Source organism: Homo sapiens, chromosome 4 (genome assembly GCF_000001405.40).
Source record: "Homo sapiens chromosome 4, GRCh38.p14 Primary Assembly".
NCBI lineage: Eukaryota > Metazoa > Chordata > Mammalia > Primates > Hominidae > Homo > Homo sapiens.
Window position 1 is genome coordinate 9237901 of NC_000004.12, and position 17157 is coordinate 9255057.

General features: G+C 49.3%; 3 protein-coding genes and 1 pseudogene across 3 annotated transcripts, besides 1 other annotated feature; all 4 read left to right on the top strand.

The window, feature by feature from the left end:
- USP17L16P (ubiquitin specific peptidase 17 like family member 16, pseudogene) lies at positions 1332 to 2354 on the top strand (annotated as a pseudogene).
- USP17L17 (ubiquitin specific peptidase 17 like family member 17) lies at positions 5979 to 7571 on the top strand. The gene has a single exon (NM_001256857.1). It carries the CDS (start codon positions 5979 to 5981, stop codon positions 7569 to 7571), a length of 1593 nt encoding a protein of 530 aa, NP_001243786.1.
- A 3158-nt stretch (positions 7572 to 10729) lies between these two features.
- Positions 10730 to 12322, top strand: USP17L18 (ubiquitin specific peptidase 17 like family member 18). The gene has a single exon (NM_001256859.1). The coding sequence runs from the start codon at positions 10730 to 10732 to the stop codon at positions 12320 to 12322; it is 1593 nt and encodes a 530-aa protein (NP_001243788.1).
- Positions 12045 to 12546: an enhancer, noted in NCBI's record as "OCT4 hESC enhancer chr4:9251671-9252172 (GRCh37/hg19 assembly coordinates)". NCBI's record gives its function as "activates a minimal SCP1, AML or CMV promoter by ChIP-STARR-seq in primed H9 embryonic stem cells {active_cell/tissue: H9 hESC(primed)}" and the evidence as "EXISTENCE:reporter gene assay evidence [ECO:0000049][PMID:30033119]".
- Positions 15478 to 17070, top strand: USP17L19 (ubiquitin specific peptidase 17 like family member 19). Its single transcript, NM_001256860.1, has one exon. The coding sequence runs from the start codon at positions 15478 to 15480 to the stop codon at positions 17068 to 17070; it is 1593 nt and encodes a 530-aa protein (NP_001243789.1).
- Positions 17071 to 17157: the final 87 nt, after the last annotated feature.

A 17157-nucleotide genomic window follows, 5' to 3' on the forward strand; every position in this document is an offset into this window, starting at 1 on the left:
TGTTTCTCCCTGAGACAGGGCCTCACTTCCGTCAGCCGGGCTTTTCCACGGTATAATTTTCCTTGTTTGCTTTTGTCCAAATTAGAACTTTTTATTTCACCTCTAGGAAACGTTGATCCATTATCACATACGTATGGAAATATTATCACACATGCTGTGAGATACGTTGTTTTTATTTTCATCAATTCTTTAATAAACAAACGGTTATAGCTGGGATACCTTCTGAGTTCTCAAGTTTTTTGTTTCGTGTTTTCTTAAACTGCCGTCGCACGTCCGAAACCGCTCACTATGCAGTGTCATGACCGTCTCTCTTTTCTGGCAAACATAAATTTGGGGATTGTCATCAATTAGTCTCTCGGGGATTGCATGATTTCCCCAAAGGCTTTCACAGTCTACTTTGTGCACTGAGTATCTCTTCAAACTTCAGTGCATGTTTCTACCATTTGATTCTTTCTTATTTGGCAATCTAGCTTCCACAAGAGCATTTCACGCAAAGACTTGTCTTGTTCTCCACTGGCAGGTAATTTCACTCGGACAGAGAATCAATAGGCTCAACGTGGAAAGCTTATCGCTGGAAGGTCTGTTTGATTCCACGGATCTCTCCTTTCTCATTAGGGAAGAAAATACGCTGTGCTAAATACTATACTTCATTGACTATTCTCAGGTCAGAAAGCGCACTTTCGTCTTCTTGTCCTTCCGTCGCGGAGAGGATGATGGCAGCTGCCAAAAGTACATACTTGGAAGTTCATCCCAGCACAAACACACACACACACGCCCCCCCCACACACACACACACAAACACACTCACACACACACACGCACACGGTTTCCTAGGTAAAGATTTCTTCCCTGCCATTGCTTTACCTAAAATAAGGCAACTGTGAGGCCACTGTCCCAACCCGGTTACACTCCTATTATATGTGCCTATCATCCTGAGGAGTAATTTGATTCAGGTGTTCTGGAAGTCATGCTGTGGGCTGTGTCTGTTGAATTCCCAGCGATGCCAGGGGACACACCCTGTGACTCCTTCCTGAATTGAGTGCTGATATTTGATTGGCTTATCGCGCACCTGATGAGTAGGTGGGGTGTTCGCGGTTGGTGGGGGTGACTTACAGAAGGGCTGATGTGGCCAGAGAGCTCGTCATTTGAAGACTCTCTCGGAAGGGATAGCGTCTTTCTGCAACCTGTGGTCCCAGCAGACAAACCTTGTGATCCTTGTTCCAGTCGACATGGAGGACGACTCACTCTACTTGGGAGGTGAGTGGCAGTTCAACCACTTTTCAAAACTCACATCTTCTCGGCCAGATGCAGCTTTTGCTGAAATCCAGCGGACTTCTCTCCCTGAGAAGTCACCACTCTCATGTGAGACCCGTGTCGACCTCTGAGATGATTTGGCTCCTGTGGCAAGACAGCTTGCTCCCAGGGAGAAGCTTCCTCTGAGTAGCAGGAGACCTGCTGCGGTGGGGGCTGGGCTCCAGAATATGGGAAATACCTGCTACGTGAACGCTTCCTTGCAGTGCCTGACATACACACCGCCCCTTGCCAACTACATGCTGTCCCGGGAGCACTCTCAAACGTGTCATCGTCACAAGGGCTGCATGCTCTGTACTATGCAAGCTCACATCACACGGGCCCTCCACAATCCTGGCCACGTCATCCAGCCCTCACAGGCATTGGCTGCTGGCTTCCATAGAGGCAAGCAGGAAGATGCCCATGAATTTCTCATGTTCACTGTGGATGCCATGAAAAAGGCATGCCTTCCCAGGCACAAGCAGGTAGATCATCACTCTAAGGACACCACCCTCATCCACCAAATATTTGGAGGCTACTGGAGATCTCAAATCAAGTGTCTCCACTGCCACGGCATTTCAGACACTTTTGACCCTTACCTGGACATCGCCCTGGATATCCAGGCAGCTCAGAGTGTCCAGCAAGCTTTGGAACAGTTGGTGAAGCCCGAAGAACTCAATGGAGAGAATGCCTATCATTGTGGTGTTTGTCTCCAGAGGGCGCCGGCCTCCAAGACGTTAACTTTACACACCTCTGCCAAGGTCCTCATCCTTGTATTGAAGAGATTCTCCGATGTCACAGGCAACAAGATTGCCAAGAATGTGCAATATCCTGAGTGCCTTGACATGCAGCCATACATGTCTCAGCAGAACACAGGACCTCTTGTCTATGTCCTCTATGCTGTGCTGGTCCACGCTGAGTGGAGTTGTCACAACGGACATTACTTCTCTTATGTCAAAGCTCAAGAAGGCCAGTGGTATAAAATGGATGATGCCGAGGTCACCGCCGCTAGCATCACTTCTGTCCTGAGTCAACAGGCCTACGTCCTCTTTTACATCCAGAAGAGTGAATGGGAAAGACATAGTGAGAGTGTGTCAAGAGGCAGGGAACCAAGAGCCCTTGGCGCAGAAGACACAGACAGGCGAGCAACGCAAGGAGAGCTCAAGAGAGACCACCCCTGCCTCCAGGCCCCCGAGTTGGACGAGCACTTGGTGGAAAGAGCCACTCAGGAAAGCACCTTAGACCACTGGAAATTCCTTCAAGAGCAAAACAAAACGAAGCCTGAGTTCAACGTCAGAAAAGTCAAAGGTACCCTGCCTCCCGACGTACTTGTGATTCATCAATCAAAATACAAGTGTGGGATGAAGAACCATCATCCTGAACAGCAAAGCTCCCTGCTAAACCTCTCTTCGTCGACCCCGACACATCAGGAGTCCATGAACACTGGCACACTCGCTTCCCTGCGAGGGAGGGCCAGGAGATCCAAAGGGAAGAACAAACACAGCAAGAGGGCTCTGCTTGTGTGCCAGTGATCTCAGTGGAAGTACCGACCCACACGTAGGGGTGCACACACACACGCACACACACAGACACACACATAACTACACCCAGAAGCGCGCACGCAAACACACACACACCCACACAAACACGAACACCGTCAATCCTACATAAACTAATGAGGAGCCCAAGTTTCTGTCTCTACAACAGGGACAACTGGATAGTGATGGCTACATCTCAGGATGAGCCCGCATATGGGAAACATCAAGTTTTGGGGTCGTGAGTCTTCCGAACCTCTGGAGGGACTGTCTGAGTGTTTGTGTTCATGATAGGTGACATTCAGTGTGTATTTCTGAATATGACCTACCGACGTGTAGGTTTGCGTGTGAGGTAATTGCAGGGGACTCGGTTTCGTATTTTCTCTTGGGGTGTGTTTCATTCGTCAGTTGTTGGTCGGCATGAGAAGGTGAAATGTGGCTCATGTGGGACATCCGTGGATCATTCTCGCCACCTTGAATAGTGGAAACTGGAATGCATTTGGAAGAGAAGAACGGTGCTCTTCTTTCTTCCCCGGGCTCGCCGTTTTTACACTGGTTCCTGAATGGACCTCAGGCGCCCTGGGACTTGTGCTCTTGCTGGAACCCACATAACGCCGGAAGCGGACAGACCGACTTGCCTGTTTCACGGTGCCCGCTTCCCATGAGTCCAAACGGAAAATTTTCCCACGGGCATGTAAGTCATCTGGAAGTAAGCTGTATTGATAATAAAGGAAAGCAAACACAGGAGTGTGTGTATTCAACTGAAATAAATTCAGAAAGCCCTGAAATCAATCTCACTGGGTGTGTTTAAAAATGGCATTTGGGGAATTTCTGGGTCATTTGTCCAGCTGCGAAAGCTGCATCTCTGAAGCACAGTCCCTGTCCCGCAGTGAGACTTATTGATCCGACGTGGTGTTTCCGTGGAAATGATTGTGGGAAATGGCCCCTTCCTTTTCTCTATTTGCTGATTAGACTTCATGGTCCCTTTCTCGTCAGGTACAGTGATCAAAGTTGACCAGCCCCAGAGGAAAGCTGCCCAGGGCACAACTCAGGGCTCCGTAGAACCACAGAATCTTGGGCGCAACCCTGCTCAAGCACCCAAATGTGCATACGAACAGGGTCTCCGTGTGACGTGTGTGAAAACTACAGTGTGATGAGCATGACTGGCAGACAGCTTATCGATTGGGCTCCCCTCAAAATCGGTTATGAGCATTCAAGCACACCGATGCCCAGGTCCCGGCTGCAGGAATAAGACCCTCCAGGGTCTTGTGTGAAGCCTCGGCATCTGCATTGCTCATGCTTCTGGGGATCATTCTCCTGAAAATGGTGGCTCCTTTCTCCCTGTGGAGCATCTTTCTAAGCAGTGCTCTTTTCTTCCCCCAGGACACTTTACATCCGGCACAGGAAGCCTTCTGATGGAGCACACCTGGCCCATGAAAAGACAAGGGAAAGAAACGGGGCCAAAGGTCACAGTCCTCTCATCCCATCATCCTCCTTAAAATCATCCTAATTTCATGGGCCCTGAAGCCAGGGCTGTTTCTTTACACCTAGAGGCCTTGGCGCCGGGCCTCAATTCCGCCCTGTTCCTTACCGTCTAAGACATGTTGGGAAAATCCCTAGAGCCAGGATCTTCATTCCTGCTAAGCCAGACAGCCGGAAGACACACCCAAATTCTGTCCCTCTTACTTCAGGGAACATGTCCACTTTCGGCAGCATTACAATTTTGGCACCAAATGTGCTAACTGCAATTCCACCATACAATGCGTAACTGGAAATGGAGGCAACATCTCCGATCCTGAACGATCGATGCGAGAATCCAGGATATGCACGGCTTATTTTGGCCTTTTCCCACTGAAACAAGGGCCAGTATTAAAAATGGCACGCTATCCTCTGTTTCACTCCCTGCTTTTAAACGTCTCCGATGTTTCTCCCTGAGACAGGGCCTCACTTCCGTCAGCCGGGCTTTTCCACGGTATAATTTTCCTTGTTTGCTTTTGTCCAAATTAGAACTTTTTATTTCACCTCTAGGAAACGTTGATCCATTATCACATACGTATGGAAATATTATCACACATGCTGTGAGATACGTTGTTTTTATTTTCATCAATTCTTTAATAAACAAACGGTTATAGCTGGGATACCTTCTGAGTTCTCAAGTTTTTTGTTTCGTGTTTTCTTAAACTGCCGTCGCACGTCCGAAACCGCTCACTATGCAGTGTCATGACCGTCTCTCTTTTCTGGCAAACATAAATTTGGGGATTGTCATCAATTAGTCTCTCGGGGATTGCATGATTTCCCCAAAGGCTTTCACAGTCTACTTTGTGCACTGAGTATCTCTTCAAACTTCAGTGCATGTTTCTACCATTTCATGCTTTCTTATTTGGCAATCTAGCTTCCACAAGAGCATTTCATGCAAAGACTTGTCTTGTTCTCCACTGGCAGGTAATTTCACTCAGATAGAGAATCAATAGGCTCAACGTGGAAAGGTTATCGCTGGAAGGTCTGTTTGATTCCACGGATCTCTCCTTTCTCATTAGGGAAGAAAATACGCTGTGCTAAATACTATACTTCATTGACTATTCTCAGGTCAGAAAGCGCACTTTCGACTTCTTGTCTTTCCGTCGCTGAGAGGATGATGGCAGTTGCCAAAAGTACATACTTGGAAGTTCATCCCAGCACAAACACACACACACACGCGCCCCCCCCACACACACACAGACGAACACAATCACACACACACACTCACACGGTTTCCTACGTAAAGATTTCTTCCCTGCCATTGCTTTACCTAAAATAAGGCAACTGTGTGGCCACTGTCCCAACCCGGTTACACTCCTATTATATGTGCCTATCATCCTGAGGAGTAATTTGATTCAGGTGTTCTGGAAGTCATGCTGTGGGCTGTGTCTGTTGAATTCCCAGCGATGCAAGGGGACACACCCTGTGACTCCTTCCTGAATTGAGTGCTGATATTTGATTGGCTTATCGCGCACCTGATGAGTGGGTGGGGTGTTCGCGGTTGGTGGGGGTGACTTACAGAAGGGCTGATGCGGCCAGAGAGCTCGTCATTTGAAGACTCTCTCGGAAGGGATAGCGTCTTTCTGCAACCTGCGGTCCCAGCAGACAAACCTTGTGATCCTTGTTCCAGTCGACATGGAGGACGACTCACTCTACTTGGGAGGTGAGTGGCAGTTCAACCACTTTTCAAAACTCACATCTTCTCGGCCCGATGCAGCTTTTGCTGAAATCCAGCGGACTTCTCTCCCTGAGAAGTCACCACTCTCATGTGAGACCCGTGTCGACCTCTGTGATGATTTGGCTCCTGTGGCAAGACAGCTTGCTCCCAGGGAGAAGCTTCCTCTGAGTAGCAGGAGACCTGCTGCGGTGGGGGCTGGGCTCCAGAATATGGGAAATACCTGCTACGTGAACGCTTCCTTGCAGTGCCTGACATACACACCGCCCCTTGCCAACTACATGCTGTCCCGGGAGCACTCTCAAACGTGTCATCGTCACAAGGGCTGCATGCTCTGTACGATGCAAGCTCACATCACACGGGCCCTCCACAATCCTGGCCACGTCATCCAGCCCTCACAGGCATTGGCTGCTGGCTTCCATAGAGGCAAGCAGGAAGATGCCCATGAATTTCTCATGTTCACTGTGGATGCCATGAAAAAGGCATGCCTTCCCGGGCACAAGCAGGTAGATCATCACTCTAAGGACACCACCCTCATCCACCAAATATTTGGAGGCTACTGGAGATCTCAAATCAAGTGTCTCCACTGCCACGGCATTTCAGACACTTTTGACCCTTACCTGGACATCGCCCTGGATATCCAGGCAGCTCAGAGTGTCCAGCAAGCTTTGGAACAGTTGGTGAAGCCCGAAGAACTCAATGGAGAGAATGCCTATCATTGTGGTGTTTGTCTCCAGAGGGCGCCGGCCTCCAAGACGTTAACTTTACACACCTCTGCCAAGGTCCTCATCCTTGTATTGAAGAGATTCTCCGATGTGACAGGCAACAAGATTGCCAAGAATGTGCAATATCCTGAGTGCCTTGACATGCAGCCATACATGTCTCAGCAGAACACAGGACCTCTTGTCTATGTCCTCTATGCTGTGCTGGTCCACGCTGGGTGGAGTTGTCACAACGGACATTACTTCTCTTATGTCAAAGCTCAAGAAGGCCAATGGTATAAAATGGATGATGCCGAGGTCACCGCCGCTAGCATCACTTCTGTCCTGAGTCAACAGGCCTACGTCCTCTTTTACATCCAGAAGAGTGAATGGGAAAGACACAGTGAGAGTGTGTCAAGAGGCAGGGAACCAAGAGCCCTTGGCGCAGAAGACACAGACAGGCGAGCAACGCAAGGAGAGCTCAAGAGAGACCACCCCTGCCTCCAGGCCCCCGAGTTGGACGAGCACTTGGTGGAAAGAGCCACTCAGGAAAGCACCTTAGACCACTGGAAATTCCTTCAAGAGCAAAACAAAACGAAGCCTGAGTTCAACGTCAGAAAAGTCGAAGGTACCCTGCCTCCCGACGTACTTGTGATTCATCAATCAAAATACAAGTGTGGGATGAAGAACCATCATCCTGAACAGCAAAGCTCCCTGCTAAACCTCTCTTCGTCGACCCCGACACATCAGGAGTCCATGAACACTGGCACACTCGCTTCCCTGCGAGGGAGGGCCAGGAGATCCAAAGGGAAGAACAAACACAGCAAGAGGGCTCTGCTTGTGTGCCAGTGATCTCAGTGGAAGTACCGACCCACACGTAGGGGTGCACACACACACGCACACACACAGACACACACATAACTACACCCAGAAGCGCGCACGCAAACACACACACACCCACACAAACACGAACACCGTCAATCCTACATAAACTAATGAGGAGCCCAAGTTTCTGTCTCTACAACAGGGACAACTGGATAGTGATGGCTACATCTCAGGATGAGCCCGCATATGGGAAACATCAAGTTTTGGGGTCGTGAGTCTTCCGAACCTCTGGAGGGACTGTCTGAGTGTTTGTGTTCATGATAGGTGACATTCAGTGTGTATTTCTGAATATGACCTACCGACGTGTAGGTTTGCGTGTGAGGTAATTGCAGGGGACTCGGTTTCGTATTTTCTCTTGGGGTGTGTTTCATTCGTCAGTTGTTGGTCGGCATGAGAAGGTGAAAGGTGGCTCATGTGGGACATCCGTGGATCATTCTCGCCACCTTGAATAGTGGAAACTGGAATGCATTTGGAAGAGAAGAACGGTGCTCTTCTTTCTTCCCCGGGCTCGCCGTTTTTACACTGGTTCCTGAATGGACCTCAGGCGCCCTGGGACTTGTGCTCTTGCTGGAACCCACATAACGCCGGAAGCGGACAGACCGACTTGCCTGTTTCACGGTGCCCGCTTCCCATGAGTCCAAACGGAAAATTTTCCCACGGGCATGTAAGTCATCTGGAAGTAAGCTGTATTGATAATAAAGGAAAGCAAACACAGGAGTGTGTGTATTCAACTGAAATAAATTCAGAAAGCCCTGAAATCAATCTCACTGGGTGTGTTTAAAAATGGCATTTGGGGAATTTCTGGGTCATTTGTCCAGCTGCGAAAGCTGCATCTCTGAAGCACAGTCCCTGTCCCGCAGTGAGACTTATTGATCCGACGTGGTGTTTCCGTGGAAATGATTGTGGGAAATGGCCCCTTCCTTTTCTCTATTTGCTGATTAGACTTCATGGTCCCTTTCTCGTCAGGTATAGTGATCAAAGTTGACCAACCCCAGAGGAAAGCTGCCCAGGGCACAACTCAGAGCTCCGTAGAACCACAGAATCTTGGGCGCAACCCTGCTCAAGCACCCAAATGTGCATACGAACAGGGTCTCCGTGTGACGTGTGTGAAAACTACAGTGTGATGAGCATGACTGGCAGACAGCTTATCGATTGGGCTCCCCTCAAAATCGGTTATGAGCATTCAAGCACACCGATGCCCAGGTCCCGGCTGCAGGAATAAGACCCTCCAGGGTCTTGTGTGAAGCCTCGGCATCTGCATTGCTCATGCTTCTGGGGATCATTCTCCTGAAAATGGTGGCTCCTTTCTCCCTGTGGAGCATCTTTCTAAGCAGTGCTCTTTTCTTCCCCCAGGACACTTTACATCCGGCACAGGAAGCCTTCTGATGGAGCACACCTGGCCCATGAAAAGACAAGGGAAAGAAACGGGGCCAAAGGTCACAGTCCTCTCATCCCATCATCCTCCTTAAAATCATCCTAATTTCATGGGCCCTGAAGCCAGGGCTGTTTCTTTACACCTAGAGGCCTTGGCGCCGGGCCTCAATTCCGCCCTGTTCCTTACCGTCTAAGACATGTTGGGAAAATCCCTAGAGCCAGGATCTTCATTCCTGCTAAGCCAGACAGCCGGAAGACACACCCAAATTCTGTCCCTCTTACTTCAGGGAACATGTCCACTTTCGGCAGCATTACAATCTTGGCACCAAATGTGCTAACTGCAATTCCACCATACAATGCGTAACTGGAAATGGAGGCAACATCTCCGATCCTGAACGATCGATGCGAGAATCCAGGATATGCACGGCTTATTTTGGCCTTTTCCCACTGAAACAAGGGCCAGTATTAAAAATGGCACGCTATCCTCTGTTTCACTCCCTGCTTTTAAACGTCTCCGATGTTTCTCCCTGAGACAGGGCCTCACTTCCGTCAGCCGGGCTTTTCTACGGTATAATTTTCCTTGTTTGCTTTTGTCCAAATTAGAACTTTTTATTTCATCTCTAGGAAACGTTGATCCATTATCACATACGTATGGAAATATTATCACACATGCTGTGAGATACGTTGTTTTTATTTTCATCAATTCTTTAATAAACAAAAGGGTATAGCTGGGATACCTTCTGAGTTCTCAAGTTTTTTGTTTCGTGTTTTCTTAAACTGCCGTCGCACGTCCGAAACCGCTCACTATGCAGTGTCATGACCGTCTCTCTTTTCTGGCAAACATAAATTTGGGGATTGTCATCAATTAGTCTCTCGGGGATTGCATGATTTCCCCAAAGGCTTTCACAGTCTACTTTGTGCACTGAGTATCTCTTCAAACTTCAGTGCATGTTTCTACCATTTCATGCTTTCTTATTTGGCAATCTAGCTTCCACAAGAGCATTTCATGCAAAGACTTGTCTTGTTCTCCACTGGCAGGTAATTTCACTCAGATAGAGAATCAATAGGCTCAACGTGGAAAGGTTATCGCTGGAAGGTCTGTTTGATTCCACGGATCTCTCCTTTCTCATTAGGGAAGAAAATACGCTGTGCTAAATACTATACTTCATTGACTATTCTCAGGTCAGAAAGCGCACTTTCGACTTCTTGTCTTTCCGTCGCTGAGAGGATGATGGCAGCTGCCAAAAGTACATACTTGGAAGTTCATCGCAGAAAAAACACACACACACACGCGCCCCCCCCACACACACACACACGAACACAATCACACACACACACACTCACACGGTTTCCTACGTAAAGATTTCTTCCCTGCCATTGCTTTACCTAAAATAAGGCAACTGTGTGGCCACTGTCCCAACCCGGTTACACTCCTATTATATGTGCCTATCATCCTGAGGAGTAATTTGATTCAGGTGTTCTGGAAGTCATGCTGTGGGCTGTGTCTGTTGAATTCCCAGCGATGCAAGGGGACACACCCTGTGACTCCTTCCTGAATTGAGTGCTGATATTTGATTGGCTTATCGCGCACCTGATGAGTGGGTGTGGTGTTCGCGGTTGGAGGGGGTGACTTACAGAAGGGCTGATGCGGCCAGAGAGCTCGTCATTTGAAGACTCTCTCGGAAGGGATAGCGTCTTTCTGCAACCTGCGGTCCCAGCAGAAAAACCTTGTGATCCTTGTTCCAGTCGACATGGAGGACGACTCACTCTACTTGGGAGGTGAGTGGCAGTTCAACCACTTTTCAAAACTCACATCTTCTCGGCCCGATGCAGCTTTTGCTGAAATCCAGCGGACTTCTCTCCCTGAGAAGTCACCACTCTCATGTGAGACCCGTGTCGACCTCTGTGATGATTTGGCTCCTGTGGCAAGACAGCTTGCTCCCAGGGAGAAGCTTCCTCTGAGTAGCAGGAGACCTGCTGCGGTGGGGGCTGGGCTCCAGAATATGGGAAATACCTGCTACGTGAACGCTTCCTTGCAGTGCCTGACATACACACCGCCCCTTGCCAACTACATGCTGTCCCGGGAGCACTCTCAAACGTGTCATCGTCACAAGGGCTGTATGCTCTGTACGATGCAAGCTCACATCACACGGGCCCTCCACAATCCTGGCCACGTCATCCAGCCCTCACAGGCATTGGCTGCTGGCTTCCATAGAGGCAAGCAGGAAGATGCCCATGAATTTCTCATGTTCACTGTGGATGCCATGAAAAAGGCATGCCTTCCCGGGCACAAGCAGGTGGATCATCACTCTAAGGACACCACCCTCATCCACCAAATATTTGGAGGCTACTGGAGATCTCAAATCAAGTGTCTCCACTGCCACGGCATTTCAGACACTTTTGACCCTTACCTGGACATCGCCCTGGATATCCAGGCAGCTCAGAGTGTCCAGCAAGCTTTGGAACAGTTGGTGAAGCCCGAAGAACTCAATGGAGAGAATGCCTATCATTGTGGTGTTTGTCTCCAGAGGGCGCCGGCCTCCAAGACGTTAACTTTACACACCTCTGCCAAGGTCCTCATCCTTGTATTGAAGAGATTCTCCGATGTCACAGGCAACAAGATTGCCAAGAATGTGCAATATCCTGAGTGCCTTGACATGCAGCCATACATGTCTCAGACGAACACAGGACCTCTCGTCTATGTCCTCTATGCTGTGCTGGTCCACGCTGGGTGGAGTTGTCACAACGGACATTACTTCTCTTATGTCAAAGCTCAAGAAGGCCAGTGGTATAAAATGGATGATGCCGAGGTCACCGCCTCTAGCATCACTTCTGTCCTGAGTCAACAGGCCTACGTCCTCTTTTACATCCAGAAGAGTGAATGGGAAAGACACAGTGAGAGTGTGTCAAGAGGCAGGGAACCAAGAGCCCTTGGCGCAGAAGACACAGACAGGCGAGCAAAGCAAGGAGAGCTCAAGAGAGACCACCCCTGCCTCCAGGCCCCCGAGTTGGACGAGCACTTGGTGGAAAGAGCCACTCAGGAAAGCACCTTAGACCACTGGAAATTCCTTCAAGAGCAAAACAAAACGAAGCCTGAGTTCAACGTCAGAAAAGTCGAAGGTACCCTGCCTCCCGACGTACTTGTGATTCATCAATCAAAATACAAGTGTGGGATGAAGAACCATCATCCTGAACAGCAAAGCTCCCTGCTAAACCTCTCTTCGACGACCCCGACACATCAGGAGTCCATGAACACTGGCACACTCGCTTCCCTGCGAGGGAGGGCCAGGAGATCCAAAGGGAAGAACAAACACAGCAAGAGGGCTCTGCTTGTGTGCCAGTGATCTCAGTGGAAGTACCGACCCACACGTAGGGGTGCACACACACACGCACACACACAGACACACACATAACTACACCCAGAAGCGCGCACGCAAACACACACACACCCACACAAACACGAACACCGTCAATCCTACATAAACTAATGAGGAGCCCAAGTTTCTGTCTCTACAACAGGGACAACTGGATAGTGATGGCTACATCTCAGGATGAGCCCGCATATGGGAAACATCAAGTTTTGGGGTCGTGAGTCTTCCGAACCTCTGGTGGGACTGTCTGAGTGTTTGTGTTCATGATAGGTGACATTCAGTGTGTATTTCTGAATATGACCTACCGACGTGTAGGTTTGCGTGTGAGGTAATTGCAGGGGACTCGGTTTCGTATTTTCTCTTGGGGTGTGTTTCATTCGTCAGTTGTTGGTCGGCATGAGAAGGTGAAAGGTGGCTCATGTGGGACATCCGTGGATCATTCTCGCCACCTTGAATAGTGGAAACTGGAATGCATTTGGAAGAGAAGAACGGTGCTCTTCTTTCTTCCCCGGGCTCGCCGTTTTTACACTGGTTCCTGAATGGACCTCAGGCGCCCTGGGACTTGTGCTCTTGCTGGAACCCACATAACGCCGGAAGCGGACAGACCGACTTGCCTGTTTCACGATGCCCGCTTCCCATGAGTCCAAACGGAAAATTTTCCCACGGGCATGTAAGTCATCTGGAAGTAAGCTGTATTGATAATAAAGGAAAGCAAACACAGGAGTGTGTGTATTCAACTGAAATAAATTCAGAAAGCCCTGCAATCAATCTCACTGGGTGTGTTTAAAAATGGCATTTGGGGAATTTCTGGGTCATTTGTCCAGCTGCGAAAGCTGCATCTCTGAAGCACAGTCCCTGTCCCGCAGTGAGACTTATTTATCCGACGTGGTGTTTCCGTGGAAATGATTGTGGGAAATGGCCCCTTCCTTTTCTCTATTTGCTGATTAGACTTCATGGTCCCTTTCTCGTCAGGTATAGTGATCAAAGTTGACCAACCCAGAGGAAAGCTGCCCAGGGCACAACTCAGGGCTCCGTAGAACCACAGAATCTTGGGCGCAACCCTGCTCAAGCACCCAAATGTGCATACGAACAGGGTCTCCGTGTGACGTGTGTGAAAACTACAGTGTGATGAGCATGACTGGCAGACAGCTTATCGATTGGGCTCCCCTCAAAATCGGTTATGAGCATTCAAGCACACCGATGCCCAGGTCCCGGCTGCAGGAATAAGACCCTCCAGGGTCTTGTGTGAAGCCTCGGCATCTGCATTGCTCATGCTTCTGGGGATCATTCTCCTGAAAATGGTGGCTCCTTTCTCCCTGTGGAGCATCTTTCTAAGCAGTGCTCTTTTCTTCCCCCAGGACACTTTACATCCGGCACAGGAAGCCTTCTGATGGAGCACACCTGGCCCATGAAAAGACAAGGGAAAGAAACGGGGCCAAAGGTCACAGTCCTCTCATCCCATCATCCTCCTTAAAATCATCCTAATTTCATGGGCCCTGAAGCCAGGGCTGTTTCTTTACACCTAGAGGCCTTGGCGCCGGGCCTCAATTCCGCCCTGTTCCTTACCGTCTAAGACATGTTGGGAAAATCCCTAGAGCCAGGATCTTCATTCCTGCTAAGCCAGACAGCCGGAAGACACACCCAAATTCTGTCCCTCTTACTTCAGGGAACATGTCCACTTTCGGCAGCATTACAATTTTGGCACCAAATGTGCTAACTGCAATTCCACCATACAATGCGTAACTGGAAATGGAGGCAACATCTCCGATCCTGAACGATCGATGCGAGAATCCAGGATATGCACGGCTTATTTTGGCCTTTTCCCACTGAAACAAGGGCCAGTATTAAAAATGGCACGCTATCCTCTGTTTCACTCCCTGCTTTTAAACGTCTCCGATGTTTCTCCCTGAGACAGGGCCTCACTTCCGTCAGCCGGGCTTTTCCACGGTATAATTTTCCTTGTTTGCTTTTGTCCAAATTAGAACTTTTTATTTCACCTCTAGGAAACGTTGATCCATTATCACATACGTATGGAAATATTATCACACATGCTGTGAGATACGTTGTTTTTATTTTCATCAATTCTTTAATAAACAAACGGTTATAGCTGGGATACCTTCTGAGTTCTCAAGTTTTTTGTTTCGTGTTTTCTTAAACTGCCGTCGCACGTCCGAAACCGCTCACTATGCAGTGTCATGACCGTCTCTCTTTTCTGGCAAACATAAATTTGGGGATTGTCATCAATTAGTCTCTCGGGGATTGCATGATTTCCCCAAAGGCTTTCACAGTCTACTTTGTGCACTGAGTATCTCTTCAAACTTCAGTGCATGTTTCTACCATTTCATGCTTTCTTATTTGGCAATCTAGCTTCCACAAGAGCATTTCATGCAAAGACTTGTCTTGTTCTCCACTGGCAGGTAATTTCACTCAGATAGAGAATCAATAGGCTCAACGTGGAAAGGTTATCGCTGGAAGGTCTGTTTGATTCCACGGATCTCTCCTTTCTCACTAGGGAAGAAAATACGCTGTGCTAAATACTATACTTCATTGACTATTCTCAGGTCAGAAAGCGCACTTTCGACTTCTTGTCTTTCCGTCGCTGAGAGGATGATGGCAGTTGCCAAAAGTACATACTTGGAAGTTCATCCCAGCACAAACACACACACACACGCGCCCCCCCCCACACACACACACACGAACACAATCACACACACACACTCACACGGTTTCCTACGTAAAGATTTCTTCCCTGCCATTGCTTTACCTAAAATAAGGCAACTGTGTGGCCACTGTCCCAACCCGGTTACACTCCTATTATATGTGCCTATCATCCTGAGGAGTAATTTGATTCAGGTGTTCTGGAAGTCATGCTGTGGGCTGTGTCTGTTGAATTCCCAGCGATGCAAGGGGACACACCCTGTGACTCCTTCCTGAATTGAGTGCTGATATTTGATTGGCTTATCGCGCACCTGATGAGTGGGTGGGGTGTTCGCGGTTGGTGGGGTTGACTTACAGAAGGGCTGATGCGCCAGAGAGCTCGTCATTTGAAGACTCTCTCGGAAGGGATAGCGTCTTTCTGCAACCTGCGGTCCCAGCAGAAAAACCTTGTGATCCTTGTTCCAGTCGACATGGAGGAAGACTCACTCTACTTGGGAGGTGAGTGGCAGTTCAACCACTTTTCAAAACTCACATCTTCTCGGCCCGATGCAGCTTTTGCTGAAATCCAGCGGACTTCTCTCCCTGAGAAGTCACCACTCTCATGTGAGACCCGTGTCGACCTCTGTGATGATTTGGCTCCTGTGGCAAGACAGCTTGCTCCCAGGGAGAAGCTTCCTCTGAGTAGCAGGAGACCTGCTGCGGTGGGGGCTGGGCTCCAGAATATGGGAAATACCTGCTACGTGAACGCTTCCTTGCAGTGCCTGACATACACACCGCCCCTTGCCAACTACATGCTGTCCCGGGAGCACTCTCAAACGTGTCATCGTCACAAGGGCTGTATGCTCTGTACGATGCAAGCTCACATCACACGGGCCCTCCACAATCCTGGCCACGTCATCCAGCCCTCACAGGCATTGGCTGCTGGCTTCCATAGAGGCAAGCAGGAAGATGCCCATGAATTTCTCATGTTCACTGTGGATGCCATGAAAAAGGCATGCCTTCCCGGGCACAAGCAGGTGGATCATCACTCTAAGGACACCACCCTCATCCACCAAATATTTGGAGGCTACTGGAGATCTCAAATCAAGTGTCTCCACTGCCACGGCATTTCAGACACTTTTGACCCTTACCTGGACATCGCCCTGGATATCCAGGCAGCTCAGAGTGTCCAGCAAGCTTTGGAACAGTTGGTGAAGCCCGAAGAACTCAATGGAGAGAATGCCTATCATTGTGGTGTTTGTCTCCAGAGGGCGCCGGCCTCCAAGACGTTAACTTTACACACCTCTGCCAAGGTCCTCATCCTTGTATTGAAGAGATTCTCCGATGTCACAGGCAACAAGATTGCCAAGAATGTGCAATATCCTGAGTGCCTTGACATGCAGCCATACATGTCTCAGACGAACACAGGACCTCTCGTCTATGTCCTCTATGCTGTGCTGGTCCACGCTGGGTGGAGTTGTCACAACGGACATTACTTCTCTTATGTCAAAGCTCAAGAAGGCCAGTGGTATAAAATGGATGATGCCGAGGTCACCGCCTCTAGCATCACTTCTGTCCTGAGTCAACAGGCCTACGTCCTCTTTTACATCCAGAAGAGTGAATGGGAAAGACACAGTGAGAGTGTGTCAAGAGGCAGAGAACCAAGAGCCCTTGGCGCAGAAGACACAGACAGGCGAGCAACGCAAGGAGAGCTCAAGAGAGACCACCCCTGCCTCCAGGCCCCCGAGTTGGACGAGCACTTGGTGGAAAGAGCCACTCAGGAAAGCACCTTAGACCACTGGAAATTCCTTCAAGAGCAAAACAAAACGAAGCCTGAGTTCAACGTCAGAAAAGTCGAAGGTACCCTGCCTCCCGACGTACTTGTGATTCATCAATCAAAATACAAGTGTGGGATGAAGAACCATCATCCTGAACAGCAAAGCTCCCTGCTAAAACTCTCTTCGACGACCCCGACACATCAGGAGTCCATGAACACTGGCACACTCGCTTCCCTGCGAGGGAGGGCCAGGAGATCCAAAGGGAAGAACAAACACAGCAAGAGGGCTCTGCTTGTGTGCCAGTGATCTCAGTGGAAGTACCGACCCACACGTAGGGGTGCACACACACACGCACACACACAGACACACACATAACTACACCCAGAAGCGCGC